General features: G+C 37.9%; 1 protein-coding gene across 8 annotated transcripts in view, besides 1 other annotated feature; it reads right to left on the bottom strand.

Moving 5' to 3' along the window:
- The window catches only part of IQGAP2 (IQ motif containing GTPase activating protein 2), a 304,848-nt gene that overhangs the window by 120,786 nt on the left and 164,667 nt on the right, over positions 1-19,395 (bottom strand). For all 8 annotated transcript variants that reach the window (NM_006633.5, XM_017008960.2, XM_047416641.1 and 5 more), the window contains 2 exons: positions 16,690-16,767; positions 11,578-11,654 (listed from right to left, as the gene is read on the bottom strand). In NM_006633.5, coding sequence (NP_006624.3) covers positions 11,578-11,654; positions 16,690-16,767 — 155 coding nt within the window. The remainder of the gene's footprint in view (positions 1-11,577; positions 11,655-16,689; positions 16,768-19,395) is intronic.
- Positions 5,031-5,120: an enhancer, noted in NCBI's record as "active region_22692". NCBI's record gives its function as "activates an Ori minimal core promoter by ATAC-STARR-seq in GM12878 lymphoblastoid cells {active_cell/tissue: GM12878}" and the evidence as "EXISTENCE:reporter gene assay evidence [ECO:0000049][PMID:35858748]".

The raw sequence follows: 19,395 nt of genomic DNA, 5'->3' as shown, positions 1-19,395 counted from the left end.
CGTATTTGTTACAATAAAGCCATGAAAACAAAATTGCCAGCTTGAAAGGGTACACACACAATAAAAGTTTTCAATGTTTACTGTCCAAATGTGATCTTAAAAAGAGATTATGCTCATTTATTCTTTATGAGTAAAGGGTTAAAAAACACCCTTTTTCCTTTTATATGAGAATTTGACCTTTGGTTAACTTTCTAGCTCTGTTCTCTTAGGAACCTATACTGTCAACAGTGTTATAAGCATCATTGCTTAGGAAAAAATAACCCAATTGATAAATTGTATCTTGAGAGAAAAAACCATAAATACCTAATAGGTACCATATCTTTGGGCCTTCCTGGGTTCAATGACTTTTATAACTGGTATGTTCTTTGCAGAGAACTGGGAAGCTATGCAGTACAGCTGTTACTATAGATATTGGCTCCTGGGGGCACGAGGCTTACAAGCCAGGAAGGCTCAAACCCACTTCTTAGCAGCAAAGTTGTATCTTGGGGTACCAAGAATGGTGGCTTCCAGATGGTTGTATGGACAACTAAGTGGAGTGTCACGCAGGCTCCCACTGAAGAGCAACACCTGCCAGCATGCTGGCTATCCCAGCTACCTCTCTTCTGAGCAACAGGTGCCAGATGTGGCTTATGACAGGTGGGTCAATCTGAATATTTAGCTAAACCTAAGAACCCCGATGGGCATGGCCCACTAGACCACGAATACATCTGAATGCCATTTTCTTTGTCCCCTTATCACCACAGGATATTATCAATAAAGTCTTTCAAGGGACTAGCAACTGATAGCAACAAGATGTTATTTAAATTTGTATTTCCTTATGGTGGTTGGGAGGGTAAATATTTTTTCATACATGCATTGGCCATTCATATGTCTTCCACGAAATGCCTATTAATGAATGTTCGAATTTTAAAGAATTTTTAGGGGAAGAATTTGCCTCTTATTTTCCTGCTTTTCCTTTAAAACCATAGCAAAGGACAAAGAACATTTTTTTTTTTTTTACCATATGTGTAACATTAGTTTTAATACTAAATTTCAATGTGATATTTATATCTTATCCACAGAGGAAAAAGTTTTATATTAGACTTTGAACATTCTTCAAAGTGAAATAGCCATTATGTATTCATAATCCCAAACTAGCAAGAGAGGATACATTCCTTAGTTAAAGTTCTAGGTCTTTAGACATTATCATGGATATAAAACTGTTTACTTTACACAGCCTCTGAAGACTTTACTACCAAAGGTTCATGCCAACAAGTCATTATAATTAAAGCTAGATCATTAAGATACCATGCTGACATTTTCAAAACCATAATATTTTATGAACCAATTCTCAACTCATTATTACATAGGGAAAAAATTCCAGTTAAAAGGGTGCTCATATTACTTGGAACAATGAAATGTCAACCTCTTCACTTGCTCCTTTCTAGTAATGGGAACGACAAAATTAAACAGAATTTAACAGGCAAGATAAACTGCAAAAGAATTTGGGGGGTGAATGGAGATCAAGCCATCATTTAAGAAATGAGAATACATAGCTGGGGGCGGTGGCTCACGACTGTAATCCTAGCACTTTGGGAGGCCGAGGCAGGCAAATCACCTGAGGTTGAGAGCTCAAGACCAGCCTGACCAACATGGAGAAACCCTGTCTCTACTAAAAATACAAAATTAGCTGGGCATGGTGGCACATGCCTGTAACCCCAACTACTCGGGAGGCTGAGGCAGGAGAATCGCTTGAACCCAGGAGGTGGAGGTTTGTGGTGAGCTGAATTTGCACCATTGCATTCCAGCCTGGGCAGCAAGAGTGAAAGTCCACCTCAAAAAAAAAAAGAAAAAAAGAAAAAAAGAAATGAGAATAGATGAACAAATAATCAAAAATGTATAATTGTATCACTTCAATTTCTTTCATACTACCTGATTTGCACTTTCCTCCTCTTTTTACAAATTCAAAAATATACCTAATTTACAAAGAAAACTATAAAAAAAGTGAAATTTAGAAAATGTTATACAGTAAAATGTAAGCAGACATCCATAAAATGTCTTCAAGCAACAAATTTTATACTTATTTCAAGTACTTAATGTGCTGCATCTTTAATATATATTACCTATACTAATATCCTGCTGAAGTTTTAATATACTTTTACATTTTTCTATCAAAGCCTAAACTAATTGGTATCTATTATCCTTAGATGCTTCCACCTCTAACTTTCCCACCTGTGGAATATTGAGATAATTTAGAATTTTAGATTCATGCTTTTTTAATTATATCCACCAATAATTTAGATATCTACAAATTTTATTAACTGTTTTTCTGATTTTATCTATACCAAATTTTCCTTCTTAGAGTTTTATCTTTGGTTCTTCTGTGTATAAATGTAAGTGCTCAATAAATATTTGTTGAACATAAATTGAATGAATCATCAATTGCACATATTTTAATATTTTCATTTGTTCCTTGGGTCTTGGTTCTGTTTGGTGAATCTAATGCTTCCTTCAGTGGCAGTTTCCTTCAAATGTCTGACATCTTCTGATCTGGGACTCATCTTAGTGTTTGAGACTTGCTGTTTGTTGGTCATTCACTGCAGATCCGCATGTCAGGAGCCAGCATTAAGAAGCTGTAGAGAGCAATGGAACGGACGCCAGAAGGGAACCAGTGTCTTTCCTTCTCAGACTGGGGACTCTCTGTTCCTTCTTGAGGTCATTAGCTGTCTTGGGTACCGGCATGCTATCCCGCTATCAGCATCTACACTTGCTGCTTTAGGGAAGGGCCATATAGTTCTGCTGGTCCTAGGCTGACGATTGCTCACTTTGAGGCTCTTCTTTTCCTTGCTGTCCCCTTTGCTTGGAGCAAACCTCACGACAGCTCCTACCTCTGCTGCAACCCCCAGCGTTTTGTGGGCTGTGATCTTCTCCCAGTTTGTTTCTCAGTCAATCGAATTCTGTCTGTTTACTTCATGTTAGGGGTTGTTCAAATTTCTGGTTAGTAGATGGCATTTTTATCGCAAATGTATTTTTTAAAAGTTATTACTGTAGTTAATTTCATGTTAGTTTTGGAAAGGGGATAAGACAGCTGTGCTCAATGATCTTGATGCAACTGTTTTCACATTATGCTCTGTTTATCCATTCATTCATTTAATTACTATTTATGGAACAGCTCCTATATAAAAATATTTTTCTCGGCTGGGCACAGTGGCTCACGTCTGTAATCCCAGCACTTTGGGAGGCCAAGGCAGGCGATCATTTGAGGTCAGGAGTTCGAGACCAGCCTGGTCAACATGGTGAAACCCCATCTCTACTAAAAATACAAAAATTATCTGGGCACGGTGGCACACGCCTGTAATCCCAGCTACTAGGGAGGCTGAGGCAGGAGAATTGCTTGAACCAGGGAGACAGACGTTGCAGTGAGCCACGATTGTGCCACTGCACTCCATCCTGGGCAACAGAGCAAGACTCTGTGTCTCAAAAAAAAAAAAAATTTTCTCTACCATGCTATCCCTAAATTAAGGTACTTAGGCTACCACAAAATATAGGTTTGATGATAACATGAAGTAAAATGTTTATACTAAACTGTTAATTTTCCCCTTTGATGATAAAGAAGTTAGATAGCTATTTCCAATTACATTTTTAATTTCTCCATTGTACAATGTAATATTAATATAAATCTTACAATAAACAAACATCCTGGCTTAAGTAAAAGTTACCACAAGGTGGTGCTGAGAAGTTAGCTTTCTGAACATGGAAGAATCTTTGCTTTTAAATTTAAGTCTGATATTTTCTTAAGCTAATATTGATCAGGTAAAGATCTCATTTGCATATATCAAAAAATCTCATTTACTAAAAAATTAAAAAAAATATTGTATAGTTTCTGTTTGGCCTCAATTTTCAACTTTTTTTCTTTTTTTTTAAATCATTGATGTTGAGGTTTAAACTGTTAGCTTTGGAAAGATCACTTTTCATGGTATGGGCGTTTTACACCTAATCTCTGTGTGGGAGGTGCTTCCCAGCTGATTACTCAAACGGGCAAATGTTTATCAGGAAACTGTGTTTACCCAGTATTCCCATGCTGAAAAGAAACAGCAATAGCAAACTTCCTTCCCAAGCATTTAAATTCAAATGAGGCTGCTTATTACCTGAAGTATATAGGAAATCAAGTCTTAATCTAAAAAACAAAAAAGCCCATCGAATAGAAAAAGTGCCAATCTCATGTAGCTCTTCAACAGTTAATTTATTAAGCACCGTTTGGTACCTAACAGCCAAGTCAAAGGGCTGAGAGCATTCCAAAGGAAGTCATGGAATTAATGTCACCTTTGCTTCTCATGTCTAAGAGAGCACTTTTTGTGAGGTAGCAAGCCTCCTACCACACCAAAAGCTACAGCACACCTGTGCAGCTGAGTGAGGCCAGCAACGGAGGGGTTGCCCAGAGGTAGCTACCGACTCATTGACCCATGTGCTCCTACTTGTACAAATAATATCACTTAAAGTCCAGGAAGCAATAAAGAAAGTTTTAAAAAATACCATTTAGTGTATATCATGAAAGTAGTATATAGTAGTAGTAGTAGTAGTAGTTGTTATCTACTGAACCAAATTTTTCCATCTTAGTCACATACATTACTGCCAATATCACATGGCATTAGTTTTTTCTACCACTTTCAAGATAAAACTAGTGGTATTAGTTTTTTCTATACTTTCAGGATATACACTAAAAGGTACTATCGTAATGAAATGCAAACTTAAAAGGCAGGAGCTAAATTTATTTCAGCTTTCTTGGATCACATTATGTGTAGCTCATTTTGTACTATAACATGTGGAATGAATGTTTGTATATCAAAGCCTCATGGTAGAGCAGAAAGACCACAGGACTAGAATCCAGAAGCGCTGAATCCTGGTCCCAAAACTGGTAAAACCTCAGTGTGTGACTAAGAGCAAGTCACGTAACCCAAGCTTTCAGTTCCCTTATCTGTGAAATGAATGACTTAGACTACAATAACTTCCCAAGGCCCTTCCCCTTCTCAAGTTCCATGATTCTTCATTTAAAACATGTTAAATATAATAGCTGAGAGGCCTGTGCTGAAGTTCAAGTCTGATACCAGTGTTCTTTTAATTTTCTTAGAAGTAGGGAAATAATTGACTTCTTTTGAAGCCATTGGCTGGCTGAATTCATAATAGCACAGGTTCAGTTCTCACATATCCTGGTTTTTACTAACTGTGTGACCTTCGGCAGCCTCTCTGTGCCTCAACTGCCTTGGTGATAAAATGGGAGTAATAATAGTGACCACTGCACAGATATGTTATGAAGATAAAATGAGATTATACCAGTACAGTATTTTGTGCAGTGCCAGGCACATAGTTAAAAGCTCCATTTGTGTTAACCTTTGTTCTTACTATTCTTTGTTAAATAAATGTGTCCTTTGTATACAAACACTTATTGATAACCTATCAAAGTGGTTTTCTTACTTTTTCCAATGCCAAGAATCTCTATTTCACCACAGACTCCATGTTTGAAATAGTTTTATTTACTGAACCAAATTTTTCCATCTTAGTCACATATATCACTGCCAATATCATATCAAAATCCAGGGTTCTATACCTAATTTTCAGCCCCAAACCAAAGGAATCCTGAGGTAGCCTTATCATAGAGAAATTAGTTCAATTAAACCTCCTGAAGAGTTAAATATACAAACTCCAGAGACTTTAACTTGGAATCAATAGCACGTAAGCTGTATGAAGTAACAAGATGTGGTTCATAGTCTCTTAAGAGCTCAGAATTTAGGAAGACAGAAAGGCATAACCACCATACTAATTTAGGACAGAAAGAGGAGGAAAGGGAAAGGAATGGTTCAGAGCACAGAGAGAATTCTGAGCAAGGAAGGACTTGAAAGAAATAAGCAGGTGCAACTGCCTCCCTCACCTTACTTCCAAATACTGCCATCTCCAGATATCCCTTCTGAGAACCTAGGATTAGAGCCTGTCCTTTGAGCTAAGAAACTGTCTTTGGAAATCTTATTTATAAATGCAAATATGTTCACTGTTAGAGATATAATCAATCTGATATAAGGGTTCAATCAGTTTCTTAGGGAAGGAAAAGGTTCTAAGGGAACAGAGTGTTAAGACAAGGAAAGTTATGCATTAATGCCTGAGGAGCAGGTTCAAAGGCCACCTGGTAAGCAAGACAGCCACCTGGCTGTGTGGGAGCTGGCTAGACAAACTCTACTCCACAAAGCTCCCAGAGTACCTGGACGGCTGGTGAACCAGAAGTGGGTCTGCCAGAGCCATGGCATCACCATTGCACCTGAAAACATGGCTGCTGCGACACAGCTACAGTATCAGCAGCGGGAAGAGTAATCCTATCACAGAGGAGAGGCAGACATAGCTTCCGTTTGTGGCTGCCCATGTAGAAGAATCTCAATGGTCAAATGAACTAGACAGCAAGAAAAGCAGAATCCAGTAAGCTAATAAGGTTAAACTTGAAAAATTAATATAAACACATGACTTTTAAGAGGAATCCCTAGAGAGTGGTGGTTCCACATCTCAAAGCAGAAATAATCAGGATAGGACTGGAACATCCTGTTGTGACCACGAGCAAGGATATTTCAAAGAATGTCAGGGACGGTGCTAGAAGGACAAGGAAGTGGGCCAGAAAGAGCTCAGACTGACCAAGCTGAAACAATCTGGTTCATCAAAAAGAAAGAGATATTAATCTTGGTTAAGTCTGAGAAAGGCCACAGGTTCAAAACAATAATCAAGAGAATAATATACAGTGTCCAAAAAGGAAGTTGTAATAAAAAAAAGAGATAAATAGCGAATGTGTATTTATATTGACTTTAACAAGTTGGGGAGCATTATTAAAACACAAGTACTTTGTTTCTTCTATATCTGTTTTTTGTTTGTTTGTTTTGTTTTGTTTTGTTTTGTTCTTTGAGACGGAGTCTCGCTCTGTTGCCCAGGCTGGAGTGCAGTGGCGCGATCTTGGCTTATTGTGATCTCCGCCTCCTGGGTCTATTCTCCTGCCTCAGCCTCCCGAGTAGCTGGGACTACAGGCGTGTGCCACCATGCTTTTTTTTTTTTCTTTTAATTGAGATGGAGTCTCCCTCTGTTGCCCAGGCTAGAGTGCAGTGGCACAGTCTCAGCTCACTGCAACCTCCGCCTCCCAGGTTCAAGCGATTCTCCTGCCTCAGCCTCCCGAGTAGCTGTGATTATAGGCACCTGCCACCACACCTGGCTAATTTTTGTATTTTTGGTAGAGATGAGGTTTCACCATCATGGCCAGGCTGATCTTAAACTCCTGACCTCACATGATCTGCCTGCCTCAGCCTCCCAAAGTGCTGGGATTACAGGCATGAGCCACAACACCTGGCCTATATTTGTTTATATATAGATATTTTTATACTATTTATACTACATGAAAGAATAAAGACCAAGAACTTTGAGTAAACTAAATAGTCCCAGAAAACAAAGGAAGTGCCCCAAGATAAGGAAGAACCAAGGAGCATAGGTGGTGACAGAAACACCGGGTAGAAAGAGGGTCCAGCACTGGTGGTCACATCCACTAACTAAGTGGAGGCAGGACTAGAAACATGATCTGAGATGATAAATCAGCCCAAAAGCCTAAGGATCACTGGGTACAGTCAATCCCTTGTCTCCCAGGGGATGAAAACCTCTAGAAAGCCCAACTAATTAAAAAAAAAATATTTAAAAGGCATACATAAGCTTTTAATAATGTTAATGGATCAGGCCAATACATCATTATGACAGGACAATGGATTATACAATGCTGGTCAAGTGAGACTTAAGAAAGTAAATTATTTCAGGGTAATGGGGAAGGGGGGCAGGGGTGGGGACCAGATTGTAAATAAAGACCTACCTGAAAGCCGGGTACTTAAATGCGGTCTGATTTTTTTTTTTTTTTTTTAAACAAAGAAAGTTTAGCCTGATGCCTGTGGCCAGGGTCTGACTCGCCATGGGAGAAGAACCCAAAGTTGCGCCATGTTCTGACTCACAAGTGATCCATCCGAAACCCAGATCTGTAATCATGGCAGGTTTGAAAGGGTATTCTTTTGTTTCTGGTGCCACGAAGATTATGTCAATTCTGGGTAGGTATCAAAATAATATAATAGCCAAGGACAACTCAAAACTAGTTATAAATAATAAACAAAATGAGTGAAACTTGTAGTATGGGTCTTACAGAATAGGTTCCAGTGTAGTAAGTTTGTAATAACGTACCTGGGCATTTCACCTGCTCTTTAAGGTATCTGAAGTACTCAAAACATCATTTCTACTAAATTATTCCAACTCTTTCAAGGAACTCACTTTTATGACTGTTTAAACAAGTAACAGTTGTTTAATATCATTTATTATACATCTTTAATAAGGTGGGCACTAAACAACATGTCAAAAAAGTGTTCTTACCCTTACGTAAAAGGCCTCCAGATATTTTTTAAAAATTAGTATAGTAACTAGTTAGTAAGGCTCTCACTCTTAAACTGGTTCCTTTTCAAGGCAGAGGCTTTATAACATTCCAAAAGAAGCCACAAAAGTAAAACATGCCATACGCAGTATACACTTTAAGTTCAAAGATATCAAAATAGTTACAGTGGTTTTTACTTGGTGTTGAGATAGTGGGTATTTTAGCTTTTTCTTTAACATTCTTCCTGGATTTTCCAATTTTTTCCACAATGAGCATACATTACTTTTGAAAAAATGAGAAAAAGACAAACATTTCTTTAGAAAAAGAATGATGTGGCCGGGCGTGGTGGCTGATGCCTGTAATCCCAGCACACTGGGAAGCTGAGGCAGGCAGATCACGAGGTCAAGAGATCAAGACCATCCTGGCCAACATGGTGAAACCCCGTCTCTACTAAAAATACAAAAAATTAGCTGGGCATAGTAGTGCGTGCCTGTAGTCCCAGCTACTCAGGAGGCTGAGGCAGGAGAATCACCTGAACCCGGAAGGTGGAGGTTGCAGTGAGCTGAGATTGCACCACTGCACTCTAGCCTGGTGACAGAGTGAGACTCCATCTCAAAAAAAAAAAAGATGCCATCCACCGCTAAGGTGAGTCTGTCTACATTAGGTGAAGCTTGAGAATTTCCTCCCTTTGCTGCTGTGGTAATGTTCATGGAGTCTGGCTTGAGAACACCAAGCTAAACTGACACAGGGATTGGTGAGTGGTAGGACACGAGACTGGGATCAGAAATAAAATGATAAGGTGAGGGGCAGGCAGCAAAGGGGAACACAGATACAAACAGGAAGCAAGCATAAGCACCCAGAAGTTAGGTTGTTAAGCCCAAATCAAGATGACAGGGAATAGGAGACAAGTTTGGTCAGGGCTAAGAGCTAACTTTTTAGATCAAGTCAGGCCCACAGGCTGGGGCAGGAAGAAGGCAGCGCCTGGCAAGCTTAACTTCCTAGGGAAACTTCCTTGCTGGCTTCTGAGTTATAATCAGAATCTCTGACCTGCCTAATTACTCTACCAGGTAATAACAACTCTCAAATACAGCAGCAGTGCTGTATTTGCAGCCAGGATATAAAAGCTGAAGACATGTTAGTTCATTTCCATCATCATTTCTAACTATGCAGCAAGAGTATTTATCAAACCCACTGTATTTATTAGAGGATTGTTCCTCAGCTTTCAAATGTGTCTTGCACAACAAAGCAGAATATCAGCCTCCTTTGAGTGACTGACTGCATTTTAAATCATAGCAGGAACAAGTTTTGGTGGAAAAAGCTGCAAGATACACTTGGGACTTCTCGGCTCCATAGTGAGAGGCAGCTATACAATAATTTAGAACAAAGAAAAGCGAGGAGAATGCTATTTACTAAATAAATATTGCTTTTGAAGATAAAATATCCTACTTAAGATCAGATCTGGTGAATGACATGACCCAACAGGAATCCCCTCCAGGATGAGTAAAAGTAATGGAGATGTCTATGATGAATAACTGAAAAACACAGTCCTGGAAAATATCACATCAATATTTGTATACAATTGGTAATAATAAACAAAAAGTTGTTTTTTCTTTGTTTACCAAGCTATTCAAGCCATTGTTAAAACCATGGCAAATACACATGTAAGTCTAAGTGCAGCTCTAGATAGCTCCTTTAGGAGAACCATGATATCACCAGAAAGGAACTTAGCATACCATTTGTTTATAAGCTCCTTAACATGAATGTCCCAGTTGTCTATTTCAGAAAATCAATTGAAACTTATACGAGACAGCCCACGAGCATGCGACAGAACTAGAGATTAGCACTGTGATGCACACATGTAGCAATGGCATTAACTAGTCGTGGCTGGCTTAGCAGCTCATAGACCCAGTACTAACTATAGTGTTATCATTCTAAGATCAGAAAAATATTTAATAAAGAATATCAGGCAACACAAGTTGAAAATATTCCTCAACATAAGCACTTTTGCACAAGGAGCTTTTAGAAAACCTGTGGCATAATGATACTCTCGCCACATCTGAGAAGGCAGCATGAAGTAGGTTTGTTTTTACTGTTGCTGTTTTTCTTTTTTTAACCAGTTGTTCTAAGTTACTAGAATAAAAAAAAATCATAGCAAAGGCACCTACACTTGGTCTATATTTCTAGCAACTGTCATCTTCCAAAGCAATCCCATAAGTACTGACTGGGGGAAAAAGTCAAATTATATGACATAATCAAATTTCTTCTCTAGAAAGCCAACACCACCATGAATTATTGTAGAAGCATTTTCCTTTGGAGAGGAAAAGAGCCAGGAAGAAGTCAACATAAACCTCTAGGCAGAGTACTCTGCCAGGAAAATGACTTCTAGTGATGAAAACACAAGGCAGATGTTCTAAAAGTAATTTAAAATTTAATCAGACATGAAGTCTTCCAAAACCATTACCTGTGTACATTCAAGACAACAGCCACAAACTGGATTTTTAGAATAATCTTTGTTACCATCTAAAAATCACATTTCTTCCAGGCCAATAAGATAAAATGTAATCTGTGAACTAGCAGAATTTCAGCATTTTCAAAAATTAAGTTATTGAACAATTGCTTTAAAATAATGAATGTGTCTTGATTTGACTAATTTACACCAAACTACTATGTTTCTTCTTTATCCTTAGGGTACAAATTCTATTGAACAGAAGATCAAAAGAAACCATTCTTACCTCTATTTTCTTAATTTGTAAGAATTGAACTAAATTATAATTTTAACTCATTAAACCAAAATTATGACTATTAAAGTTGCTCATTTGATATATCTGCATTATATTTGTAAACTAGGTCATAACTCAAGAATATAGTAGTACATTACAATTGGATTTCTAGAAGTTTCAACCTAAATTTTCTCTTTATTGTACTTAATGGTTTTCAATCATTTTCTGGTTTTCTATTTTGAGTTAGATTTAAAAATCAGAAAAACATTTTTCAAGTTCAAGAATTGCTTATATGTGACCATTATTTTAATTTTGTACCAGCAAATCCAAAACAATGGAATTTAATAAAAAGTTCTTCAAACTATTAAAGTAACTTAAAACCTCTTTTAAAATTGAAATTTTAGTTTTATTTAAATCTACTTCTTAGAGCACCTTTTAGCTGCATTTTCCCCCTACCTCAGTGCGTGAATGCAATATATCATTCTTGGTATGTTTTTCCGATCATAGACATCTGTTGTTTCTGGATAAAATATCTGGAAAACAAAAGAAACAATATTTATTATATGTTTTGCTTCTCACAAGTATTTTAACTTCCCAAAATGACCCTATTTTGATTGTCCTTGCTATCCTATAATTATTTAAATATAGAGGAACCTCTCTGCCATTGCTTCATCTTGCTGTAGAGATAGACCAATCACCATATCTGGACCCCTGCCTGACAGCATGCCTCTTAGTGGTCCACAGGAGGATGGTGGGGTCCCCAGCCAGCTACTCCAAGAAGGCTGTGTCCACAGTGCTAGTGGCAGTGTTTCATTTCATAGGGCATATGAGCACATGTGGGCTCTGCCTCCTGTAGCCTTCACACTCCTGTGACTTCCCAGAGGTCCCATGGGCCTGAGAAGGGTGTCCTTGTTATTAGCCACTTTATTGCATTGTTAAAAACTTGGCATATGTGCTCTGTACACATGTATACATGCATATACAACACACACACACACACATTTAAAAAATCTGTTTAAAGTAAGACATTTTCACCAAATAAAATCTGGAAAGTATATAAGGTATGAAGGAAAAACATCTATGACCCCACCTCCCAGATTGTCACTATTAGCAATTTTGTCCCTATTTTTCTTCTGGTCTTTTTTTCTGTATGTCTCTGATTTTTTTAGGTTTATATATATGTGTGCATGTGAAAACAAAATTGTACTTAGTGTAACCTGTTTAAAACACTTTACAGAACACAATTATTTCCCATCCCCTTCATTATACTATAAGATTATTTTTAATAGATGTATATGATTCGTTTATATTTTTGAACCCTAGCTTAGCCAGTTAATCCATGGTTGAACATTTGTTTTGCTTCTAATTTTTCCCTATTATAAGCCACTGCAATGAATATTTCTGTATTTTCTGAGCATCTGATTATTTTGGATAATCATCTAAATATGAAATTACTAGACTGAAAGGTCTGAACATCAAAGTTTTGAATACACCTTCACACTCTTTTCCTTTTTCTAACATGTTTTATTTTAGGTTTGGGGTACATGTGAAGGTTTGTTACATAGGTAAATGTGTGTCACGGGAGGTTATCCTACATACTATTTCTTACTCTTTTTCTTAAACTTGAAACTAATAGCCTGATAAGAAACAGATTTCAGGCCAGGTGCAGTGGCTCACGCCCATAATCCCAACACTTTGGGAGGCTGAGGCAGGCGATCACCTGAGGTCAGGAGTTCAAAACCAGCCTGGCCAACATTAGCCAGGCGTGGTGGTGCATGCCTGTAATCCCAGCTACTTGGGAGGCTGAGGCAGGAGAATTGCTTGAACCCAGGAAGTGGAGGTTGCAGTAAGCCAAGCACGTGCCACTGCATTCCAGCCTGGGTGACAAGAACAGAACTTCATCTCAAAACAAAACAAACGAACAAACAAATCAACAAAAGAAACAGATTTCAGAGTGAGGCACCAAACTTCTCTGTTCCTAAGCACACACAAAAAATAATTAAGCTTGAGGCTTTTAAAATTAAGATAATCATTTAGACATTATTTACTTTAAGTAAATATTTTATAAAAACTGACATCAAAAACTAAAATAATGCATCATATGGTAGTACGTGATACTCAAGTGCAATTTCCTATTGGTCACTGAGAAAAGCTGAGAAAAGAAAGAAGCAAAGTTTCTTGAGCTACAAAATATATAATTACTAAGTACTTAAAGAAATGGCAGTAGCCTAAGAAATTTAAAAAGCCTTTCCAACTTTCCTTTAATGCATTTGCTACTAAAGTATCAATGAGAAGAGGATCCCTAAATTCAGAAGAGTATTAGCTGGGCATGGTGGTGCTTTGGAAGGCAGAGGCAGGTAGATCACGTGAGGTCAGGAGTTCAAGACCAGCCTGACCAACATGGTGAAACCTCGCCTCTACTAAAAATTAAAAAAAAAAAAAAAAAAATAGCTGGGCATGGTGGAGCACACCTATAGTCCCAGCTACTTGGGTGGCTGAGGCAGGAGAATCACTTGAACCCAGGAGGCGAAGATTGCAGTGAGCCGAGATGGCACCACTGCAGTCCAGCCTGGGCGACAGAGCGAGACTCCGTCTCAAAAAACAACAAAAAAGAGTATTACCGGTTTAAAGTTTTTTATGTAAGCAGAGAATAACTACAATTGCCTCTTCCCTTTTCTTTAAACAAGAATCTTTTATATTTATATTTCTCCTGGAAAGCCATTATAAATGACTTCCTTCAGCAAGGAGATGAGATCAATTTATCATTCACCAGAATGTTTTATGCAGCATTGTATTTCTGGCACCTAGCATGATACTGAGCACAGAGTAAGCACTTAATATTGATAAATGAAGGAATACAAGTTAAATATGATACATCAAAGTCAACTCAGTACAGTCTCTTGCCCCTGCAATGCAATATATCAATGACTTCATAATAAAAACCAATGTTAAAATAAAATCTGCTCTATAACACCACTTGTTTGGCCCTAAATACATACAATTTGAAAAGGTTTACATCAAATCTATCAAATCCAATGAAATTATCTGAATTTGATGTTGCCTTATACAAAACAATTCTGTTTAAATTCGTTTTTTATTAATCGGTTTATCATCCAGCCTCTAGTTAGTAGTTGCTAAATCACAATCCAGAAATATGAATTATGTATTACAGCCAGTTCCTAGAAGGAAACAGCATTTAACGTTCTGGGCATTTTAGGAGAAGAGAAAATAGTTTGATTAAAAATGGCAGAACAAAATTTAAACACTGATCATTTCAAGATAAAATGAGACTGACCTAAAACAGATATGAGCACAATTATATTAAAAATGGGCATTAATAAATTACATTTAAAGAATCTTCTGTTTCTGTGGCAGTGGGTGTTTTTCACTGCACACCTGGCACAACAGAGGTCTTCATAAGCCAGTAGCTTATCCTCTTGACCTCCAGCGAGACCACTCCTAAATAATTTTTTAAAAATAGCTGTACAGGCCAGGCATGGTGGCTCATGCCTGTAATCCCAGCACTTTGGGAGGCTGAGACGGGCAGATTTCCTGAAGTCAGGAGTTCGAGACCAGCCTGGCCAACATGTGGAAACCCTGTCTCTACTAAAAATACAAAAAATAGCCAGGTGTGGTGGTGCCCACCTGTAACCCCAGCTACTCGGGAGGTTACACTTGATAACTCGGGGGGTTATCCTACATACTATTTCTTACTCTTTTTCTTAAACTTGAAACTAACAGCCTGATAAGAAACAGATTTCAGGCCAGGTGCAGTGGCTCACGCCTGTAATCCCAGAACTTTGGGAGGCTGAGGTGGGCAGATCACCTGAGGTCAGGAGTTCAAAACCAGCCTGGCCAACATTAGCCAGGCGTGGTGGTGCATGCCTGTAAGTGATAACCCCGAGAATCACTTGAACCTGGGAGGCGGAGGTTGCAGTGAGCCGAGATTGTGCCAATGCACCCGAGCTTGGGTGACAGAGCAAGACTCTGTCTCAAAAAAAAAAAAAAAAAATAGCTGTACATACTAAGCAACACATAGGAGCAAGCTATTGACCCAGATGGGTCTCAAGGACCATATACAGAGTGGAAACGATGTGACTCAAAGGATACCCGCTATATGATTACACTTATATATTGTGCTCAAAATGCCAAAACTATAGAGATCGAGAACATATTAGTGGTTGCCAGGGAACAGGGCTGGGGGAGGGATGCAATCAGAAGGACCACTCTTCTGTGTGTCTGTGTCTTGATTGTGGTGGTGGTTACACAGATCTATTCATGGGATAAAACTGCACAGAATCACACATACATGCACACACATGCCCACTTACACAAATAAATGCATATGAAATGGTGAAAATGGAAAAAGGTCTGTAGTCTAGTTTACACTAATACACCAATGTCAATTTAACATGTACTGCAGTTAGATGTCACCACTAGGGGAAAGCTGAATGAAGGATAAACATAGAAGTACTATTTTTACAACTTCCTGTGATTCTATAATTATTTCAAAATAACAAGTTTAAAAAAATAGTTCTACAATTTTTATCAAATGTAATTATTTCCTCATTTCCTCCACTTGCCTAATTCTCTCACAGACTTTAGGATGCCTGCTCTTCAAATTTAACAAGCACTGAATGTTTGCTGAGTTAAATTATATTTAGGAGATCTATTTTAGGAGTAAGAGCTATAACCCACTAGCCTTTACAAGTGATATTATGATTTATAATGATAATTTATACGCCGGGCATGGTAGCTCATCCCTGTAATCCCAGCACTTTTGGGATGCCGTGGTGGACAGATTGCTTGGGCTCAGGAGACTGAGACCAGCCTGGCCGACGAGGCAAAACCCTGTCTCTACAAAAACAAAAACAAAAACAAAAATTAGCTGGGCATGGGGCAGCTACTTGCCTGTGTTCCCAGCTACTTGGGAGGCAGAGATAGGAGAATCACTTGAACATGGGAGGCGGAGGTGGTAGATTAAGCCACTGTACTCCAGACTGGGCGACAGAGCCAGACTCTGTCTTGAAATAATAATAACAATAATTTACAAAAAATAAATTTATAATAATTTACAGTAATAAAGTGTATACTAATACAATGAGATTTCTTTTTTTTTTTTTTTTTAATAGAGACAGGGTCTTGCCATGTTGCCCAGGCTGGTCTCAAACTCCTGGCCTCAAGTGATTCTCTCACCTTAGCCTCCCAAAGTGCTGGGATTATAGGCATGAGCCACCAAAAGTGGCTGAGACTTAGAATCTTTATGTACAAATAGCAACACAAGAAAGGGAGTTGGCTATTTTAGATAGCTCACCTATCTACCAGCTATAGCTTGTTCTGCCTTTATTTTGTGCACAATTTTACCTGGCTGCTCTCAATCTGGGCACATCCCTCATTCTGAGTTCTTGCCATATGTTACTTTGGATAGGTCTTTCCATGTTTTTTAGTCCTCACATTTCTCATTTCTACATTAACATAACCCAGTCTCCAAAGTCATTGCTCATAAAGAGATGTTTGTGTACTACCCCTTTGCCTTTCTAGTTCAGATTCCAGTGCGTGAAGGCTTACCTTGGGTAGACCAATAGACTCCATCGCTCTTAACCACTGGACGGTATTATCTGTGTGTCGAAAATGAAGGCCAGACTTCTAAAGTGACGATAGGAGGGAAAAAGGGAGAGAAGGAACCACACAAAAAGTGAGTCATTTGCAATAACTTTTTTCATGTACAGGATGCTTTTCAATTGTATTTCTCCTGGAACAGAGTTATTAATGTTCACATAAAGCAAACAGAGGCGTGCTAAAGGATGTATCTTGGCAACATCCCAACCATCTGTGATGAACCATGAATTTCCATAATTCACACGTTTGAGGTAAATTCTGAACTAGAATCTCCAAGACTGTTTAATGTCTAGCTCATGCTTAAGGATGTTTTATGAGACACATGTACACAGGCGTGGGTGTGTACGCACATACACACACATGCATGGTGTCCAGATTTTGGCAACCATGGCTGAGAGGCCTAGCAACTTCAGAAAAAGACAGGATTTTTAGAAGACTACATTTTTTTTTGTTCTAATCATGAATAGAATATTTCTGCAGAAAACCTGGAAAATAGGAAAATATAGCAAAATACAAAGATGAAAACAAAAACCATCCCACAATTCAGAACTAACTTTAGTATTGATTCTTCTAATTTAACCCTGATCTTGGCCTTGTATATAAGAAACAAACCTTCAGCAGAAATATTTAACAAGATCTTTTTCTACCCCTACAATAAAAATAGCTTTTGTGTATCTTCCATTTCTTCTTTATAGCCCTCATCAGATAGTCATTCCTTCTGCACAGCCTGTAAGTATAGCATTCTTGCCTGTATCTCATAAAAATTTATCAGGAATGAACCATTAAGAACTTTAAAATGATCTTGTGCTTTTCACTAATTAAATGCATAGCACCATGTTATCTATTTATTGTAATTTTTAATAAATGTACAAAACAATAACTATAGCAAGTTTTACCATATAACTAACATTCAGTAGTAGATAATCACATTCAGAAAGTTTGGCTCTCCCCACCTTCTGTTACCTTCTACAATCTAATAATTTGTTGTATAAAAAGTATTTTCATTGCTGTTAGAAATATAAAGTATAAGCAAATTAACATTTGACAAATGTTTATGCCTTCTCAATGGTGGCCACTATTCGTGATTGAACCATGTGTTCCAATCACTTCATGTAAATTAACCCTAATTTTCAAAACACCCTGAAAGGTAATTATCATTCCTATTTTTTTTTTTGCAGTGTTCATAACAGCTTTATTTTAATAGACTCAAACTGGGAATAATGGAAATGTCCTTTAGTGGGTGAATAAGATTAAATAAACTCTGGTGCATTCACACAATGGAATAAATTTCTATTTTTTAAAGATATGGAAAGATAGACCAAAAAGATGATGTGATTTGCCTAAAGTCAAGTAGTTGTCAACTGACTGACCTAGGATTCAAGACTACATCTCTCCGGATCTGAAAACCTTCCCTATGCTAACACTCTATCAGAGAAGAATGAAGGACCTAGATTGTTTGATTATTCTTTGGAAGGCAAAAATTAACTACTAATGAACTAGATAGAGGAAGGGAGAGTTGAAGGAAGGGAAGAAGGAAAAGGAATAAACAGAGCCCAGAGAGTTGACAGGTCAGGCTATACTGTTTGAGTGTTTATAACTCAGCAAAAATTTGCTTATGCAAATAATTTTCAGACAAGGCCACTCTGTGACCATGGAAGAACAAGATAGAAACAATCCACAATCAAGTCTGAACCAAGACAGGTATGAGAACCCTCTGTGCCACAAAATAAATAATGTCCCCCTCTTCCAACTAATATGAGGTACTCTGCTTTCTTTACTGATGACAATCTAAGTCCCTATTCAATCTTCCCACCTCTTAGATAAAAATTACCAAGACACCAAATTGATCCCACTTTCTGATGACACCCAAAAGAAAATGGGTTCTTGCTTCCCTAAATCCCTACTAGAACCACCCAGCACAAGCCCAAATCTACTCATTTCTCTTCACTGTGGCAATATGGGTATGCACTTTTCTTGCCCAACAAGTTAAATAAACCTAATCTTGTTTGACCACAGAGGGCTTCTGGTGTCCAAAACTGGTGGGCTCCAACAATCCCAAATTATGTAACAAAGACACCCATGTGTTTAGTGGTCTTGTTAGCAAAGTAATCTCAGGAAAGATAGAAATCTCTCTGAACCTTGGTTCCTGAGCCACAAAATGCTTCTTTGAGTTGCAGAGATTAATCTGAGAATATATGGAAGGTATTTAGTTGCAAAGTGCACCTAAGAATGCAGTAAATATTAGCTATTATAATTATTACAATACAAGATTAGGCTTGGAACTTTCGTTTACCTTTAAGGTCAGAAAAAATTTCAGTGCTTCATGTTAAGAGGCACTGAAGAAAAGGGTGGTTATCTTGGTCATATTTCTGCAACAAATGAAATGACAGATTTCAAATCCTTCATCCTTTTAAACTACCTGAGAATGCTGACTTCAGAATCCTGTGATTCATGTTAGCACACTTTCGTTAGTGAATTGCAGCAATAACATTGTCAACATACTGAGTTTGCTTCACTTAGAATGAAAATGGTCTTCTAATTAGGCTTGAAATAATCCCAGTCCACTATAATCATCTTTAACAAGTCTTTTCTTCCCGCTCCAGTCCTGTATATTACTATTAGATGAGGTGACATGTCTACAGTCAGATTTAGCCA

The sequence above is a fragment of the Homo sapiens genome, chromosome 5, assembly GCF_000001405.40.
Source record: "Homo sapiens chromosome 5, GRCh38.p14 Primary Assembly".
In the NCBI taxonomy this organism is placed as follows: domain Eukaryota; kingdom Metazoa; phylum Chordata; class Mammalia; order Primates; family Hominidae; genus Homo; species Homo sapiens.
This window is presented reverse-complemented; position numbering and strand designations above follow the sequence as displayed.